The 18,725-nt window shown below is 47.5% G+C and overlaps 1 protein-coding gene across 6 annotated transcripts in view, besides 1 other annotated feature; it reads left to right on the plus strand.

Moving 5' to 3' along the window:
- PDZD2 (PDZ domain containing 2) overlaps nucleotides 1–18,725 on the plus strand; it is a 471,802-nt gene that overhangs the window by 136,301 nt on the left and 316,776 nt on the right. For 3 of the 6 annotated variants that reach the window (XM_011513992.3, XM_011513994.3, XM_011513996.3), the window contains exon 2: nucleotides 12,206–12,287. The exons of the other annotated variants lie outside the window; for them this stretch is intronic. The gene's annotated coding sequence lies outside the window, so the exon portion shown is untranslated. The remainder of the gene's footprint in view (nucleotides 1–12,205; nucleotides 12,288–18,725) is intronic. 6 annotated transcript variants of the gene reach the window in all.
- Nucleotides 4,694–4,973: a silencer, noted in NCBI's record as "fragment chr5:31780232-31780511 (GRCh37/hg19 assembly coordinates)". NCBI's record gives its function as "represses an EF-1alpha promoter that drives an FKBP-Casp9 reporter gene in an ReSE screen in HepG2 liver carcinoma cells {active_cell/tissue: HepG2}" and the evidence as "EXISTENCE:reporter gene assay evidence [ECO:0000049][PMID:32094911]".

An 18,725-nucleotide genomic window follows, 5' to 3' on the forward strand; every position in this document is an offset into this window, starting at 1 on the left:
CTCCTTTGCAGCTCCTTCTCCTTGGCCCAGCCAGCTCAGTTCTATACTTGTCACTCATTTCCCTTGGCCTTTCTGATGGAAATTTGTCCCTACTCCAGTCTGCCTGATGAGAGTAGGGCTGCAACTGTTTGGCCCAAGTCAAACCTCATAATCAGATCCATGTTTTCCTTGTTGAATGGGAGCTTTGGGAAATTGGAAGGGGAAGAGGGAGTGGAGAGCTGCACTCACAGAGCGTGTGTGTGTGTGTGTGTGTGTGTGTGTGTGTGTGTGTGTGTAGTCATCTCCCACTTGGCTCCAGGGTAACGTGTTGGCCTTCCAACGCTGGTGGACTGTTAGATCTGTGCTGAGAGCCTAGTAGGTGGAAAAACTTGGTGCCAAAGGTCTCCCACACTGGGCTTTTAATTGCTTTAAAAGAGGCTGAGCTTTGTGAGCTTCCGGTAACAAACCTGGCTCTCCCGGGCCCTGTGGATTTAGATGGGGAGTTTTTGACTAAGGCTTCATGAGTGTGGCCAGCATGCGTTAGGTGGACATGGGGGAGGGGCAGTCCACTGTCACAGTAAGAAGGAAAGCCTTGGCCATTCCCACTAGGTCTGAAGCTAGCCAATGGAACAGAAAGGCAAGAAGTCTGGTTTGGAGTCCTGACAAGAGTGCCAAGCTCAGATTCCTGGAGTGTAAGAGGCAAAGGACAAGGCCTGTGTGAATAAGGGGCCTTCACTGGCGGAGCCCCTAGGTCTCTGCCGTTCCCTAGGTCATCTTGGACTCCTCCTCTTCTCTATCCCCTTCCCCACTAACCTCATTCCAAGTGGTCACCAAGACCAGTTAACTGTGCCTCTGAAATTGTCCAAGATGCCAGCCCCTTCCCCCACCATCCCATTGCCACTCCCCTATCCAGGCAGTCACTGGATCCCATCTGAGCTATGAGGAACAGTCCTCCAACTGCCTCCCTGCCCTGTGGTCTCACTCAGTGCACAGACATCCTTTCGGGTCCCTACCCTACTCCCCATACATTGTGTTTTTATTTTATTTATTTATTTATTTATTTATTTATTTATTTATTTATTCATTTTTAGTAGAGACAGGTTACTTATGTTGGCCAGGCTGGTCTCGAACTCCTGACCTCGTGATCTGCCTGCTTCATCCTCCCAAAGTGCTGAGATTACAGGCATGAACCACCACGCCTGGCCTTATTTTTTATTTTATTTATTTATTTATTTATTTATTTATTTATTTATTTTGAGACGGAGTCTTGCTCTGTCGCCCAGGCTGGAGTGCAGTAGTGCAGTCTTGGCTCACTGTAACCTCCACCTCCTAGGTTCAAGCTATTCTCCTGCCTCAGCTTCCCGAGTAGCTGGGACTGCAGATGCACGCCACCCTACCCTGCTTGGTTAATTTTTTTTTTGTATTCTTGGTAGAGACAGGGTTTCACCATGTTGGCCAGGCTGGTCTTGAATCCCTGGTCTCAGGTGATCTGCCTGCCTTGGCCTCCCAAAATGCTAGTGAGGGGTGACAACGTGCTGGCGGCCCTCACTCACTCTCAGCACCTCCTCGGCCTCAGGCGTTCGCTCTGGCCACACTTGAGGAGCCCTTCAGCCCACCGCTGCACTGTGGGAGCCCCTCTCTGGGCTGGCCGAGCCTGGAGCCGGCTCCCTCTGCTTGCTGGGAGGTGTGGAGGGAGAGGTGCGGCCAGGAACCGGGGCTGTGCACTGGCGCTCGCGGGGCAGCGTGAGTTCCGGGTGGGCACGGGCTCGGCAGGCCCGCACTCGGAGTGGCTGGCAGGTGCCACTGGCCCCGGGCAGTGAGGGGCTTAGCACCCAGGCCAGCAGCTGCAGAGGGGGCGCCAGGTCCCCCAGCACTGCTGGCCCGCCCGCACTGTGCTTGAATTCTCGCCAGGCCTCAGCCGCCTCCCTGCGGTGCAGGGCTCCGAACCTGCAGCCCGCCATGCCTGAGCCCCCCTCCCCTCGCCCCACCCCACCCCGTGGGCTCCCACGTGTCCGGAGCCTCCCCGACGGGCGCCGCCCCCTGCTCCGTGGCGCCTGGGCCCATCGACCATCCAAGGGCTGAGGGGTGCAGGTGCGTGGCATGGGACTGGCGGGCAGCTCTGCCCTTATGGCCCCCACGCGGGATCCACTAGATGAAGCCAGCTGGGCTCCTGAGTCAGGTGGGGACTTGGAGAACTTTTATGCCTAGCCAGAGGATTGTATATGCACCAATCAGCACTCTGTGTCTAGCTCAGGGTTTGTGGATGCACCAATCGGCACTCTGTATCTAGCTAATCTGGTGGGGACTTGGAGAACTTTTATGTCTAGCTAAAGGATTGTAAATGCACCAATCAACACTCTGTGTCTAGCTTGGGGTTGGTGGATGCACCAATCAGCACTCTGTATCTAGCTAATCTGGTGGGGACTTGGAGAACTTTTATGTCTAGCTAAAGGATTGTAAATTCACCAATCAACACTCTGTGTCTAGCTAAAGGTTTATAAACACACCAATCAGTGCTCTGTGTCTAGCTAATCTGGTGGGGACTTGGAGAACTTTTATGTCTAGCTGTAGGATTATAAATGTACCAGTGAGCACTCTGTGTCTAGCTCGGGGATTGTAAACGCACCAATCAGCATTCTGTGTCTAGCTAAAGGTTTGTAAATGCACCAATCAGTGCTCTGTGTCTAGCTAATCTAGTGGGGACTTGGGGAACTTTTACGTCTAGCTGGAGGATTGTAAATACACCAATCAGCACTCTGTGTCTAGCTCAGGGATTGTAAACACACCAGTGAGCACCCTGTCAAAACGGACCAATCAGCTCTCTGTAAAATGGACCATTCAGCAGGATGTGGGTGGGGCCAGGTAAGGGAATAAAAGCAGGTTGTCCCAGCCAGCAGTGGCAAGAGGCTCGGGTCCCCTTCCACACTGTGGAAGCTTTGTTCTTTCGCTCTTTGTAATAAATCTTGCTGCTGCTCACTCTTTGGGTCTGCACTGCCTTTATGAGCTGTAACACTCACCGCGAAGGTCTGCAGCTTCACTCCTGAGGCCAGCGAGACCAGGAACCCACTGGGAGGAATGAACAACTCTGGACGGGAGGAACGAACAACTCCAGATGTGCCGCCTTAAGAGCTGTAACACTCACCATGAAGGTCTGCAGCTTCACTCCTGAAGCCAGCGAGACCATGAACCCACCAGCAGGAAGAAACTCCGAACACGTCCGAACGTCAGAAGGAACAAATTCCGGACATACCGTCTTTAGGAACTTTAACACTCACCGGGAGGGTCCGCGGCTTCATTGTTGAAGTCAGTGAGACCAAGAACCCACCAATTCCGGACACACTGGGATTACAGGTGTGAGCCACCGCACCCAGCCACATGGTGTTTTTAAATCAGTAAAGTAATAAATGTTCACAAGCATTTAGAAGATCTAGATATTTAAAGGTGAAAAACCACTCATAGATCTCCTTTCCTGAGATGAAAACCGTCATTTTAGTGAATATCCTTCAAAGACTTTGCATATCAATTTCATTTTTAAAAATGAAAACAAAACTACTTTGTAACCTACTTTCTCCTCACATATTATGGCAAACATTTTCTCATATACTTTTCTAAAATGAAACCACAAATCTGGTTATATCTCTCTCTTGCTTAAAAAAAATTAAACCACCAATAACCAAAACCCATTACCTATGTGACAGAAGTCAAACTCCATGTGCACTCTGCCCCAAACTACACCTGTACACTAACTCCCAGCCCCACCACTGCACACACCCTGCACTGCGCACACCCTCCACACCAGCCCTCCTTGCCTGTTGCATCAACATACCACCTGCATGTTTACCTTCAGGATTCCACAGGACTGGGCTTGTGTAAATGACTTCTATCACCCCCAATTCCACCTAGTGAATTCTGCCATCCTTTAACGTTATTTATGTAGCTGTCCCTAGGAAAATTGTGAATCTCTTTTTTTTTTTTTTTTTTTTGAGATGGAGTCTTGCTGGTCGCCCAGGCTGGAGTGCAGTGGCGCAATCTCGGCTCCCTGCAAGCTCCACCTCCCGGATCACGCCATTCTCCTGCCTCAGCCTCCCGAGTAGCTGGGACTACAGGCGCCCGCCACCACGCCCGGCTAACTTTTTGTATTTTTAGTAGAGACGGGGTTTCACCATGTTAGCCAGGATGGTCTCGATCTCCTGACCTCGTGATCCGCCTGCCTCGGCCTCCCAAAGTGCTGGGATTGCAGGTGTGAGCCACCGCGCCCGGCCAAAAATTGGGAATCTCTTGAAGCCAAAAACAGAACCTGTTCAGTTTGTATTTTTAGCAATTTGTGGTAATGCCTGGCACGGGGTAGTGGGCACTCAGTAAATATTTAGGGAATGAATTGGCCTCAGTTTGGTATGCCTGTTCTCATCTCCTTGGCAGCTTCACGTGTTCGTTTTTATTAGTGTCCATGATTAATCTGTATTGTATTTTCTTGCCCACTTTGGCTGTGTTTCTGTCTTGCTGTGCTGGAATAAGCACTCCTGAACTGGAGCCATTCACTGCTTTAGTTGTGTCTTCGCTAGAGGATTGAAGACGTCGCCAGTTTCTGGTGGCTTTACTGTACCCCTTAGAAGCCCTGAGAAGCAAGCTCACTTTTCCAGAGTCAATAGTCCAGAGTCAAGCCTCCAGCCCTCTTCTGAAGAGTTGACTTAATGGGTTTATGGAACTGCATGAAATGGGAGAAGCAGCATTGGTAGAAAGTTTGCAGAGTGGGAGTTCTACCCTTGGAGCCTGGGGACGAGCTCAATAGTCACTGGAGGGGAAGGCGGCAGGAAAAGTCAAGCACGTGAGAGTGGGGTGGGGGGTGGAGTCGGCACAGGAATCTATCCATGGGCTGTGGGATTCTGCGCCTTAAGGATGCCGGGGGGGCTTCAGCCTCTGCCTTTGCTTGTGTTCCAAAGTTAAGTTCACAAGGCAGTTCAAACACCTTGTGCTTTTTCTTGTGGTTCTGAGAATGTTTAAATATGGAGGTTTTGCCAGAAGGAGGAGTAAGTTTATTTTTGATATTTCATCAACGAACATTAAAGTAGAGCATTTTTATTCGAAGTCAAAGAAAAGCGAAAGCCAGTGTCTATAGAGAAATAATGATGAGCACATTTCTGCCCTCTGGGATAGAAATAAAGACAGGTAGATCCACTTTTATTGCTGCGAATCTCAGAAGTTTAAATTTGCATGTCTGTCTTAGACATTTCCTTTTAATATACAGCTCCAAGCACAGAAGCACACATATAACAGGATGTTTTCAAGAGGCTGGTTACAAAAACCCACCCCAAACCGGCTTCAGCAGGAAGGATATTCAGTGGTTCCGCGGTGTCCTCAGGGTCCCAATCTCATTTTCCCTCTCACTCTGTGATCCCCAGGATTAAGCTTCATTTAGGCTGGAGCAGGGTAGCAGCAGCAGTTCCAGGCGTGTCACTGAGAGCTGATAACATCCAGAGGAAGAAGAGAGACTATCACATCTCAGCACTTTGTCTTAGGAGCAAGGCAACATTCTCCAGAAGATTCTAGAAGGCGTCACCTCATGTCTCATTTCCCAGTGTTGGGTCACCTGCTCATTCCTGAAACCCTGCTGCAAGGGGAGGATGTCACTTACACCACCGATCAGTTAGGCCCTTCTTTAAAGCTGAGGCCCCTGATGGGTGGAGGAGGATGGTTGAATCCTTACACAAAAACTGGGATTCAGGCTGAGCCCAGTGGCTCACACCTGTAATCCCAGCACTTTGGGAGACTGAAGTGGGCAGATCACTTGAGGTCAGGAGTTCAAGGCCAGCCTGGCCAACGTGGTAAAACCCTGTCTCTACTAAAAATACAAAAATTAGCTGGGTGTGGTGGTGCACGTCTGTAATCCCAGCTACTCATGAGGCTGAGGCAGGAGAATCGCTTGAACCCAGGAGTTGGAGGTTGCAGTGAGCTGAGATTGTGCCACTGCACTCCAGCCTGGGCGACAGAGCCAGACTCCATCTCAAAAAAGCAACAACAACAACAAACAAAAACCCAGGCTTCTGTTAGGGGGTAAAAAGGGAGGAAGTGGTGGGTATACAGTGCACAGTGTTCTCCATAGGCCATTGTGAGCATCTCTTAGAAGTGGTCGCCAACTCTATACTTCAATGTGTTAGCTGCTTAAATTCATTCAAATAAAGTCTTACCCAGAAGCATAAGCAAATGAAACTAATAGAATCAGAGCAGCTGTGTTTAAATGCTGTACGTAGTCCTAGGATCATGATTTGAAAATCACTGGTGGATTACTTCTTGTAATTACTTCAAACATTTTTCTATTTCTGACCTTTTCTTTCTGTTCCTGATCTTCTTTCATCCTTATAACACAGTTGTATAATGTGAGACAGACGTCTCATTTTGTCAGTGCCTATTTCAGGAGGTCAGTTGGCCAGAGGGGACTACTATTTACAGGGTTTGGGCGAATAGAGGCATTTAGGGAAGGCAGCTGGGCTGTGAGGAGCAGATTTGGGCATATGAGACCAGAGCCTGAGATAACAGGGGGGCCAGGAAGAGAAGTTCCTCCAAGTCAGGTGATGAGCTGTGATCCCAGGTCTGACTCATTCACTCTATGCCGGCACAGTGTGGGTGGCCGTGGCCCATGGGTGCTATCTGCATTCAGGAAGAAGTGAAAGGCCTGTTGAGGCAGGGTAGGGGTGCCGGCTGGGATTCCATATGTCACAAAGGCAGACAGACATGCAGGTCACAGACTCTGAGAGCTTCATTTTGGGGTGGGGTAGAGTAGGGTTGCCATATAAAATACCAGACAGTTTAATTTGAATTTCAGATAAACAATGAATAATATTTTAGTATAAATATGTCCCAACTATTACATGGGACATACCTACATTAAGATATACTACAATATTTGGAGCATACTTATATTAAAACATTATTTCTTGTTTTCAGAAATTCATTTTTAACTGGGAGCTATACATTCTTATTTGCTGAATCTTACAACCCTACATGGGTGGGAAATGAGGAGTCTCCGGAGACATTAGGATGTTAAAATTAACCTTCTTCCTGTGGTCCCAGTCTCAGTCATGCAGGAGTTGGCACCTCTTGTTCTAATTGATCAATAGTTTCCAGGACCATGTTATACCAGTTACCCAAAACACTCATTACAAGTACAGGTATCTGCTCGCTACCACCACCCCCAGGTCTTGGGAATCAGAATCTCTAAGGATTGGATCTGGATCTAGCGTATCTTTAAGAAGCCCAGATGATTCTGGGGTTCAGGCTGGCTTGGAAAGACCACTTTAGATTTTTTTTTTTTTTTTTTTTTTTTGAGAAAGAGTGTTGCGCTATCACCCAGGCTGGAGTGAAGTGGCACGATCTCGGCTTACCACAATCTCTGCCTCCCAGGTTCAAGCAACTCTCCTGCCTCAGCCTCCCGAGTAGCTGTGATTACAGGTGCCCGCCACCACACCCGGGTAATTTTTGTATTTTTAGTAGAGACGGGGTTTCACCATGTTGGCCAGGCTGCTTTTGAACTCCTGATCTCAAGTGATCAGCCTGCCTCAGCCCCACAAAGTGCTGGGATTACAGGCGTGAGCCACCGTGCCTGGCCACCACTTTAAATTTTAAGTTCCCAAAGGTGAGGACTTTTATTTAAAGTTGGTTTAAACTTTATTTTAGATGAAGTTGGTTTAAACTTTATTTTAGATAAAGTTGGTTTAAACTTGATTTATTGCACTCAATAAATATTTGCTGGATGAATGAATGATTTCTGCCTGAGGAGTCATTCCTCACTGGCTTAACCAGTGTTTATCTTGTGGAACTTGGGAACACCAGAAGCATGCACGCGTCTTTCTTTCCATTTTTTTTTCTGGTCTTAAGACTCGTGGGAAAGGACTTGGGTGGAAGGTGTCATGGAGAGAGCCTTGGAGAACACGGGAGGGAAGGATGAGGACAGGACTGGGCAGGAGAGCACCTGAGCTTGCCAGGCAGGGGGCTAGAGCATCCGCATCGGGGAAGGAGGCCAAGTTTTTAATCACCTCCTCAGGCGAGAAGACTTGAGATTTCAAGTTGAGAACAAGTCTTCGGTTATTTTCACATAGTTTCTTTAGTGTCTCACTTGGCACAGTCTGCGTGCTCAGCATCACAAAGAGATTGATACTGAACTTGGAGTCGTCCAACCAGGGTGCTTAAAGTATGTTGGAAATGCTTCAGTGGAACCTGGTGGGTGGCAGGTAATGGCCATTTTGCTAATCTTGGTAATTCCCCAGATCGGCAGCGTGCCTGAGAGTGTCTATTTCCTATAGCACCTCCCTCTGAGGCCTCAGCAATGGAAACATTAGACTCCTGTCCTAAATGTACCCAACCGTCTACATTTCCCCTGTGGAGATGTGCCCTTGTGCCTATGTTGTCTCTAATACAAAGAAGTTTTATTTTTTTCCCGCTTCCAATTTCCTGGAGAAAGGCTTTGCTTAATGGATGAGAACCTGCCTTCCAATCTGCAGGGAGTTTTTGCCGAGTGACGTCATGGACACATAGTGCTCTGACTGTCACTGAGTCTCCGGTCCCCTCTCAATCTGTTCCCTCATCTGTGGCACTGGGACGCTGCCACAGGGCCTCAGGGCTCTGGGAAATGCAGGAGCTGTCTGGAAATTCAGAGCATAAGGCTCCTCGGTAGGGCTCCAGGTCAAGAGTGGAAAAAAGAACATGAAATCCCGGCTTTGCTTGTGACTTTAGTTCTGTCCCTCCCGTCCTCACCTCCTGCAGGCATTCACAGACACCATTCTGAGCGCATCAAAACTGCCTGTGAGTGCCCCACATGGCCACTTTGCTAGCTCCTGTAGTTACACTAAATCCAGAGGTGTCCTCGGGACCTGGGGCAATAGTGAGGTCCCTTCTTCGCAGCCCCGAACTTAGACATAAGGAAGTCAAGTTTTTATTTTGAGAATTAAACTAGTAAATACAACATACAGGGTTGGATAGCCAGTCTCCAAGTTTCCAAGGTAAGACATTGTCCTTGAATGCACGTAGAAAACAAACATCAAATCACAGTGATCTTGTGGAGGATGGACTGAAATCGGATTGTGCTTGTAATTCAGAGATCAGAAATCATTACTTATTGATGTCATAATGTGCACTTTGGAGAAAGTGGGTATGAATAGAAGGGGGGTGGTCAGTGCAAAACAGGGACAAAAACTCTAAGAGTAAGAAGTTAGTGATGCCTGAGGCTAGGCGTGGTGGCTCACGCCTGTAATCCCAGCACTTTGGGAGACCAAGGCAGGTGGATCACGAGGTCAGGAGTTCAAGACCAGCCTGGCCAATATGGTGAAACCCTGTCTCTACTAAAAATACAAAAATTAGCCAGGCGTGGTGGCACATGCCTGTAATCCCAGCTACTCGGGAGGCTGAGGCAGAAGAATCGCTTGAACCCGGGAGGTGGAGGTTGCAGTGAGCCGAGATTGCACCACTGCACTCCAGCTTGGGCGACACAGCGAGATGCCGTCTCAAAAAAAAAAAAGGTAGTCATGACTTTTCTAATGTTTTCTAGTAGTGGGGAGTCTTGGCTAAGTAGACAATTTCCTTTGCAAAGCCTCAACTACAGTGTGGGAGAGGGAGTGCCTGAAGCTACCTGAGCTAGAGCCCTTCCTGTACTCACCTGGGTCTCCTTAGTCCAAGTTTGCCTTTGCAGCATCCTGCCTTCAGGGTAAGCATGCATTGATTACGTGGATGCAAACATCCTGCCCACTTAGTAATTGTCTTTCCAATTGAAAATGAATGAATGAGCTTTCTTGCTGGTAACTGTATGTTTACACATGAGAAATAGATGCCCTTGCAATGTGCTGACAGAATTCATGTTTCCGAGCCTTAGAACCTGAAGACATGGATGGTAGGAAGTTCACCAAGGTCAGGGTCACCTTGTGGCACCTCCCTGGCAGTGACCTTTCCCAGCCCATATATATATGTCATATATATTATATATTTATATATATAAATATATATTTCCCATATATATGTCATATATATTATATATATATACATACATATATAAATATATTGAGACAGGGTCTCACTCTGTCACCCAGGCTGGAGTGCGGTGGTATGAGCATATCTCTCACTGCAGCCTTAAACTACTGGGCTCAAGAGATCCTGCCATGTCAGCCTCCCGGGTAGCTGGAACCACAGGTGTGCAGCACCAGACCCAGCTAATTTTTCAATCTTTTCTAGACACAGGGTCTCGCCATGTTGCCCCGGCTGCTCTTGAATTCCTGGGCTCAAGTGATCCTCCTGCCTCAGCCTCCCAAAGTGCTAGGATTACAGGCATGAGCTACTGCACCCTGCCCAGCCCTGTCTTTTAACTGTGCACATGCCCCTACCACAGCAGGATCTAGAGTGACGGTGGATCCAACCTCATCATTTCCCCAGACCTCGCCCCAAGGTTCGGTGGTTTTCGTCCTAGTTCCTCTCCATTTATGCTATCTCACGTCTTCTTACAGTCGCTCCACATCACTTCTCTCCCACCCTATTAAGGGCCATGATGGCACATGAGTAGCAAAGGGGTCATGGAGGGACTCGGGGTTAGTATATTCGCCTACCTCCTCCGAAATCTTTCCTTCTGAATTCTGAGTTCCTGACTGAAAGAGGTCAGCTGAGGATTCTTGTTCCTCTCACTCCCATGGACTTTGACTTTCCTTCTCATTGTCTGAGGCCTTTCCCACAGCAAGGCCTGGGAAATGGGGGAGCTTCTCAGTTGACATAAGGTTGAACCTTTGTGCTCCGTGATCTTTTGGTTTCCTCTGAGAATTCATTCTCTGCATCAGGCACTCCAGCCCTAGCTCCTGCAAGCAAGCAGGCGAGCAGTCCAGGGAAGGGAGAGGGTGGAGCTCAGTCTCCGCACAGTTTAGGCTCTTGCCAAATTCAAGAGGCTGTGGGGCCTCAGTGGAAACCCCAGATTTCCTATTGTACCCCACCCCCCAGGCAAGTTCTTCCCCACTTCTTGAAACCTTGGTTCTATTGCTGTTCCAAAGAGCTTTTATTCAGTAGGATATATTTCTTCTTGTATTCTGGAAAAGCTGGGATAAGGTTATAAGCACATAAATATAAAACCACCCCTGGGGCTCCTCTCCTCCTTTGTCTTGGCAGATACTCAAAGTCTGATAAAGCAATTTAGCCTATCTCCTCTGCAGTTCAAAACTTCCATGGTTGTGTATATGCTTCCTAATGAGGCCAGCTACTTCATCCCTGCCTCGCTAACTTAGCTCCAAGATTTGGGGGGGTGTAGGGGGAATGCCAGAGCTGGAAAGAAACTTAGTAAAACCACCTCATTTGGCAGGTAAGGAAACTGAGGCTCAGAGATTTTACATGACTTGCCTGGGGCCGTACAGCTAGCTAGTGGCAGAGTGTATTACTGGCTCTTATAAATATTTGAATCATTGTTAATTAATGATGAGGTCAGATCCTGAGTAGTTACATGCTAAGAATTTAAATACAGTAAATAGATTATGTACTCAAAAGTCTAAACACCAGAAGCATCTAACAGCACACTTGGTATGAAAGGATTTGTAAAATATCTATCCTGTTTTTAAAAAAAATCACTCTGGTGTAATTAAAGAATATGTGATAATGCTATATGTGGATGATGTGATCTACTGGGTTGTGAATGAGTGGGTTGGTAGTATCATGGCTGCCCGATCCATACCACATGGACAGGATGATCAGAAGGTAATGGGCAGTCACAGTGACCTCATGGCTCTCTTGCTGCTAACACAGAAGCCCTGACTGTTCTCAGTCAATTACCTATTCAGTAGATAGCAACTGTTTCAAAGCATTGAACTGCCATTGTACAAATATGCACATTGCCTCGTAAATGCCCTCTTTCCTCAATTAGTATGCTCTTTTAGAATTGAGATATCTAAACTCTAGAAATATTATTAACCCAGAACTGGCCAAATCCTGACATCCTGAGTAAACAGTCTTAAACCGCAGAGCTCACAGTTGAAGCCACAGCAAATATATTTTAGAAGTAGGTAGGGAACAGAAATAACTTCTAATATTCATTAGGGTTTTTTGGCCTTCAATATTCATGAGTCTACCTGCAATTTCTACTCATTCCCATTTTTATATGGACAGATAGTCCATAGGACATATAATATCTTCAGGTAATAGAGTCTCAAAATAGCTGCCAGGTTATCCTTTTCCATTTCATTCATTTTTTTTTTCTTTTTCCTATTCTTCAAAGGTCATCAAACCCAGAAATTGAAGGATCTTGGGCCTGCCTTGATGTTCATTTCTCTCATCTATAAAATTGAAGGCTGGAGGAGGTAATCCCTGAGGTTCCTTCTAGGTTCTTACCTTCTATAATTTATTAATATATGGAAACACCTCTCTCATCCCCTAAAACCTCAGCATTGACCTTGGAAAGCCTCACTTCTCAGAATCCATCCTATGCTCCCAAGTGCACCTTCCATGGGTCTTTACGCATTTTATTGTTGCTGTTTATTTTATGGTCTCTTTCTCCAGTGGACCGCAGCCTCCACAGGCTGTTCATCTTTTCTTTTCTAGCCTAGCGCAGTGCCTGGCAGAATCAACCCTTGTTGCATAAAAGGATAGATCAAATTCTCTGCCTCATACGCACAGCCCTTCATCTAGTGTAGAGTCAGCCATGTAGGCAGATACAAATTAGCTCTCCCAGGCCGGGCGCCGTGGTTCATGCCTATAATCCCAGCACTTTGGGAGGCCAAGGCGGGTGGATCACCTGAGGTCAGGAGTTCCAGACCAGCCCGGCCAATATGGTGAAACCCTCTCTCTACTAAAAATACAAAAATTAGCTGGGCATGATAGTGGGTGCCTGTAATCCCAGCTACTCAGGAGGCTGAGGCAGGAGAATTGATTGAACCCAGGAGGTGGAGGTTGCAGTGAGCTGATATCGTGCCATTGTACTCCAGCCTGGGCAACAAGAGTAAAACTTCGTCTCAAAAATAAAAAAGGCCGGGCACAGTGGCTCACGCCTGTAATCCCAGCACTTTGGGAGGCCAAGGCGGGCGGATCACGAGTTCAGGAGATCGAGACCATCCTGGCTAACATGGTGAAACCCCGTCTCTACTAAAAATACAAAAAATTAGCCGGGTGTGGTGGCGGGCGCCTGTAGTCCCAGCTGCTCGGGGAAGCTGAGGCAGGAGAATGGCGTGAACCTGGGAGGCGGAGAGTGCAGTGAGCCGAGATCGTGCCACTGCACTCCAGCCTGGGTGACAAAGTGAGACTCTGTCTCAAAATAAATAAATAAATTAAATAAATAAAATAAAATTAGCTCTCCCAAAACCTAAGCTGACTTAAGGGAGTCTCAGTAGTTTGTATTTGCACTGTTTCTCAATCAGTTGTATGTTTGTGTGAGACACCTGGGACTGCACAACTATGCTAATGTATCACTGGTTAAGTTTATGTGTGCTTTCACCTTTTTAAGGGGCAGACACATGCTCTGTATTTTTTGGCAACCCTCAAATCGAGGCAGGAACTCAGTAATAACTGCTAACTGGAAAAGTAGCAGGACTGAAGTTGAAGGACTCAGGATTATGTTCAGGGCCTTGAATCTGAGGGTGAAAAGTGAATGAAAGCAATATATTCACTAAGGATTTTATTCAGCTATAACAGAATATCTAATTAACAGGGCTTAGACAAGATAGGTGCCTGTTTTTCTCTCATGTAATAAGAAGTCTGGAGGTAGGATGTCTGGGGCTGGTATAGCTGCTCAAGGTCACAAGATGGTTGCTAAAGCTCCAGCCATCACATATGCATTCTAAGCAAGAAAAAGGAAAAAGAGACCCTATATGAAAGGAGCCTCCCTGGATGCCTCTCCCAAAAACTTCATGAGCCAGGACTGTATCTTATGTCCACTCCTCTCTGAAGGTGCATTAAGAAATGGCTTTTTGGCTGGGCACTTGCTCCTCGAACATAGGTGGGTTTCTGTTAGTAAGGAAAAAGCGAGCAGGATACTCTGTAGGGAACTAGAATTCTCTGCCACAGTCCCCTTCTTTGGTTACTGAGACATACCCTTCTTTCCATTCAAGGCATAGGCCAAGGGAGGTGGCACCCAAGCCTCATCCAGGTAGCATTTCCAGACTAGAGCCCCAGACTTCTGGGTGTTATGTGGTCTTCTCCATCAGTGCTAGATAGGGCTCCTTGTGAGCAATCTTTGGTACCCCCAAAATACAATACTGGAAAAGGTATAAAATAAGTACAATAAAAACTTCCGGGCTGGGCGTGGTGGCTCATGCCTATAACGCCAGCACTTTGGGAGGCCGAGGCATCCGAGTCAGGAGTTTGAGACCAGCCTGGCCAACGTGGTGAAACCCCATCTCTACTAAAAATACAAAACTAGCCGGGTGTGGTGGCGGGCGCCTGTAATCCCAGCTGCTTGGGAGGCTGAGGCAAGAAAATCACTTGAACCTGGAAGGTGGAGGTTGCAGTGAGCTGAGATTGCACCACTGCATTCCAGTGTGGGCAACAAGAGCGAAACTCCTTCTCCAAACAACAAAAAAAAATTCCATTTATAAAAGAAGAGATGGAAAATATCGTGGTCACTGTCCATAGCTATGACCAAATCCTTCTGGCCAAGAATAGCAAGGGTCCTCACTCTGGCCACCCCTTGCTCTGGTGGAAGGAACTCCTTGTTTATGGCCTTCCATGGCCCTTGCCTCTTACTGGGAGGTCTTTTTTGTTTGTTTGTTTGTTTGAGATGGAGTCTCGCTCTGTCACCAGGCTGGAGTGCAGTGGTGCAATCTCGGCTCACTGCAACCTCCACCTCCTGAGTCTCCTGCCTCAGCCTCCCGAGTAGCTAGGACTACAGGCACCCGCCACCATGCCCAGCTAATTTTTGTATTTTTAGTAGAGACAGGGTTTCACCACGTTGGCCAGGATTGTCTCAGTCTCTTGACCTCAGGTGATCCTCCCACCTCGGCCTCCCAAAGTGCTGGGATTACAGGCGTGAGCCACCGCTCCTGGCCCCGGGAGGTCATTCTTCATTCACTGTCCACCATGGCCACTTTTGTGATGGGCACAGGAAGGACACCTTTTCTGGGGGCTGAACATTTTTTGAAGCCTTACTTGTTGGTGTCAGTTGCAGGTGAGAAAGAGGGAGAGGAAGAGTTGCAAGGTTGCTGTAGAGATTTAAGCATCCCAGGCTGTTGTGGACCAGGGCTGGAGTTTTTTTTAAGGTATCTAGTCTGTGTGTTTCTGGTCAATTCCTTATGATTTGAATCCTTTACTTTTTAACTTAGAATCCGCACCTATCTCTCTAATTTTTTTTTTTTTTTTTTTTTTTTTGAGACAGAGTCTCGCTCTTTCGCTCAGGCCGGACTGCAGTGGCACGATCTCGGCTCACTGCAAGCTCCGCCTCCTGGGTTCATGCCATTCTCCTGCCTCAGCCTCCTGAATAGCTGGGATTACAGGCACCCACCACCGCACCCAGCTAATTTTTTGTATTTTTAGTAGAGACGGGATTTCACCGTGTTAGCCAAGATGGTCTTGATCTCCTGACCTCGTGATCCGCCCGCGTCGGCCTCCCAAAGTGCTGGGATTACAGGCATGAGCCACCGCGCCCAGCCTGAATTTTAACTTAATGTATGCTACTTAATGTATGCTGCTGAGAACAGTTGAAACCGTGGTTTCTGCTGGGTAATCACATTTTTGCCAGCAGACTTACAAACTCCGGCTAGTAGGACACCACTTATCTGCTTCTGATAAAGCTGATTTTTGTAACCCTGCAAGGGTCCATAATGTGGGCTTCCCAGGCAATTTAGATTGCAGACTCAATGTCAAGAGGGCCTTTCTAAGCAAAGTGATAGTTCTCTTTATCTCTGATTGCTTACTGAGTTGGGGAGCTGTAGACTTTGCTGAGAGTGAAAAAGCACCTATTGGCCAGGCGCAGTGGCTCACGCCTGTAATCCCAGCACTTTGGGAGGCCGACGCGGGCAGATCACCTGAGGTCAGGAGTTCGAGACCAGCCTGACCAACATGGAGAAACCCCGCCTCTACTAAAAATACAAAATTAGCCAAGTGTGGTGGCGCATGCCTGTAATCCCAGCTACTTGGGAGGCTAAGGCAGGAGAATTGCTTGAACCCAAGAGGTGGAGGCTATGGTGAGCCGAGATCGTGCCATTGCACTCCAGCCTGGGCAACAAGAGAGAAACTCCGTCTCAAAAAAAAAAAAAAAAAAAAAAAAGGTTAAAAAAGAAAAAGCACCTACCAATATTCTAAATTTTTCTTACCATTTTTCCTAGCTCCACAACCTCAGTCAACATGTAAATGACTTTGCAACATTCAGCAGTAGGCAATTTGACCAGATACTTCACATTGAACAGCTAGGGTCAACACTTTCCAGTCCGCAACTTTCAAGTCCTTAACGTCTGCTTCCTGACCCCTCCTGCTCATCCAATTCCACATTATAGGTTCTGTTACTTTCAGTTCCCCCAACTTCCAGGCACTGAATTCTGTGTTTGGGGTGTAATTCAGATAATTGGTTGGACTGGTAAAAATCCACATAACAGCGACTTAACGACACAGGGGTTTATTTTTCCTCTAATTTCTGCTCTTCCCTAAAGGAATGTTGGTGTAACCCTACCCAACAATTTCCACTTTCATCCCATTGGCCAGAACTATGTTGTATAGCTATCCATACCTGCAAGAGAGACTGCATTTTAGTTTAATTCATTGCCACTCCCAACAAAATAAAGGAAGAGAGAATGAATATCAGGTAGAGAGCCACACGCTTCTGACACAAACTACATGTTTATCATATGAGGCCCATCCGTGGCTGAGGAGCAGGGACCACCAGGCTGGGTGCTGGCCTGGTTAAGTCAGGTATAGTTCAGGGGGGCAAGGTCATCAGAAGCAGGCAGGCAGCAGGCTGATGTACAAGGAGCAAGGCCAAGTCCAATGGGTCTGGGTTCTAGTTCTGGCTCTGTTACTTATGAACTGTGAGACCTTGGGTATGTTAGTTCGCCACTTTGATTCTATTATTATGGTTTGTTTTGTTTTGTTTTTTTAGACAGAGTCTCACTCTGTGGCCCAGGCTGGAGTGCAGTGGCACAGTCTCAGCTCACTGCAACCTCTGCCTCCGGAGTTCAAGCAATTCTCATGCCCCAGCCTCCCGAAGAAGCTGGGATTACAGGTGCATGCCACCATGCCCAGCTAATTTTGTATTTTAGTGGAGACGGGGTTTCACCGTGTTGCCCAGGCTGATCTCGAGTTTCTGACCTCAGGTGATCCGCCCACCTCAGCTTCCCAAAGTGCTGGGATTACAGGCATGAGCCACTGCACCCAACCTTTGATTCCATTATTTATCTGGGCCTATAAAAGGGGGAATACTAACAGTGTCTCCCTGCAGCACCACTGTAGCAGTTAAATAAGGTAATCCATGGAAGGTGCTTATTTAATTTAATTTTATTATTATTATTATATTTGAGACAGACTCTCATTCTGTCTTGCCCAGGCTGGAGTGCAGTGGTGTGATCTCAGGTCACTGCAGCCTCCACCTCCCCGGTTCAAGCAATTCTCCTGCCTCAGCCTCCCTAGTAGCTGGGATTACAGGTGTGCGCCTCCACAACCAGCTAATTTTGTATTTTTAGTAGAGATGGGGTTTCACCATGTTGGCCAGGCTGCTCTCGAACTCCTGACCTCAGGTGATCCGCCCACCTTGGCCTCCCAAAGTGCTGGGATTACAGGCGTGAGCCACTGGGGCCCGGCCAAAGGTGCTTATTTAGAACAGTGTCTCACACACAGTTATGCTCAGAAAACATTAGCCAATGTTGATAAAATAGGGCCAGACATCCTTGTTTTATAAGGTGGTTGTGAGGATTGTGGGGTGGGGGGTGGGGGAACAGAAGAAGAAAACAAGGAAGCTCCTAGCAGAGTGGGGGCACTTCCCCCTCATTTCTTCTGTAGCTACATCTTTCCTCTTTCATCCTCGGGCAGCCAGGCAAGTCTTTACCCCAGGGCCTTTGCACCTGCAGTTCCCTCTGCCCAGAACAACCTTCCCACAGATATTCTTGTGGCTCAGTGTCTCACTTCATTCAGGACTTGTTATTGAGCAAGAGAGGCTGACTGCCCCATGCACTAGAAAAGCTTTATAATGGCTGGATGCAGTGGCTCATACCTGTAATCCCAGCACTTTGGGAGGCTGAGGCGGGCGAATCACTTGAGATCAGGAGTTCGAGACCAGCCTGGCCAACATGACAAAACCCCATCTCTACTAAAAATACAAAAAATTAGCTGGGCATGGTGGCCTGCGCCTGTAAGCGCAGCTACTTGGGAGACTGAGGCTGAGAATCGCTTGAAACCGGGAGGCGGAGGTTGCAGTGAGCCCAGATCGCGCCATTGCACTCCAGCATGGGCAACAGAGTGAAACTGTCTCAAAAAATTTTTAAAAAGCTTTATATTGAAAGTTGAAGGAAACGGGAGGTCTGGAAAGTCCCTTGGGCACGCACAGTTGTCTCTTCGTGCTAACTCATGGGTCATGTGTGCAAATTTGGGCGGAGTTAGTATGAAATGTGGAAATTCAGGCTGTGATTTCAGCGTGCTCATTCTGTGCAAACTCCAGGTGGCCATATTAGTTTGAAGCAATTTCAGCCAGTTCTTACAGCTCATGTGCAGGGAGTTTTAGTTTTCAGCAAGTTACTAATTTAAAAAAAAAATCTGTCATCCTACCAACACAAAAATTTCTGTTATTGGTTTCTTTAATTCTTTGGGGCACAATTTCAATCTCT

Source organism: Homo sapiens, chromosome 5, assembly GCF_000001405.40.
Source record: "Homo sapiens chromosome 5, GRCh38.p14 Primary Assembly".
In the NCBI taxonomy this organism is placed as follows: Eukaryota; Metazoa; Chordata; class Mammalia; order Primates; family Hominidae; genus Homo; species Homo sapiens.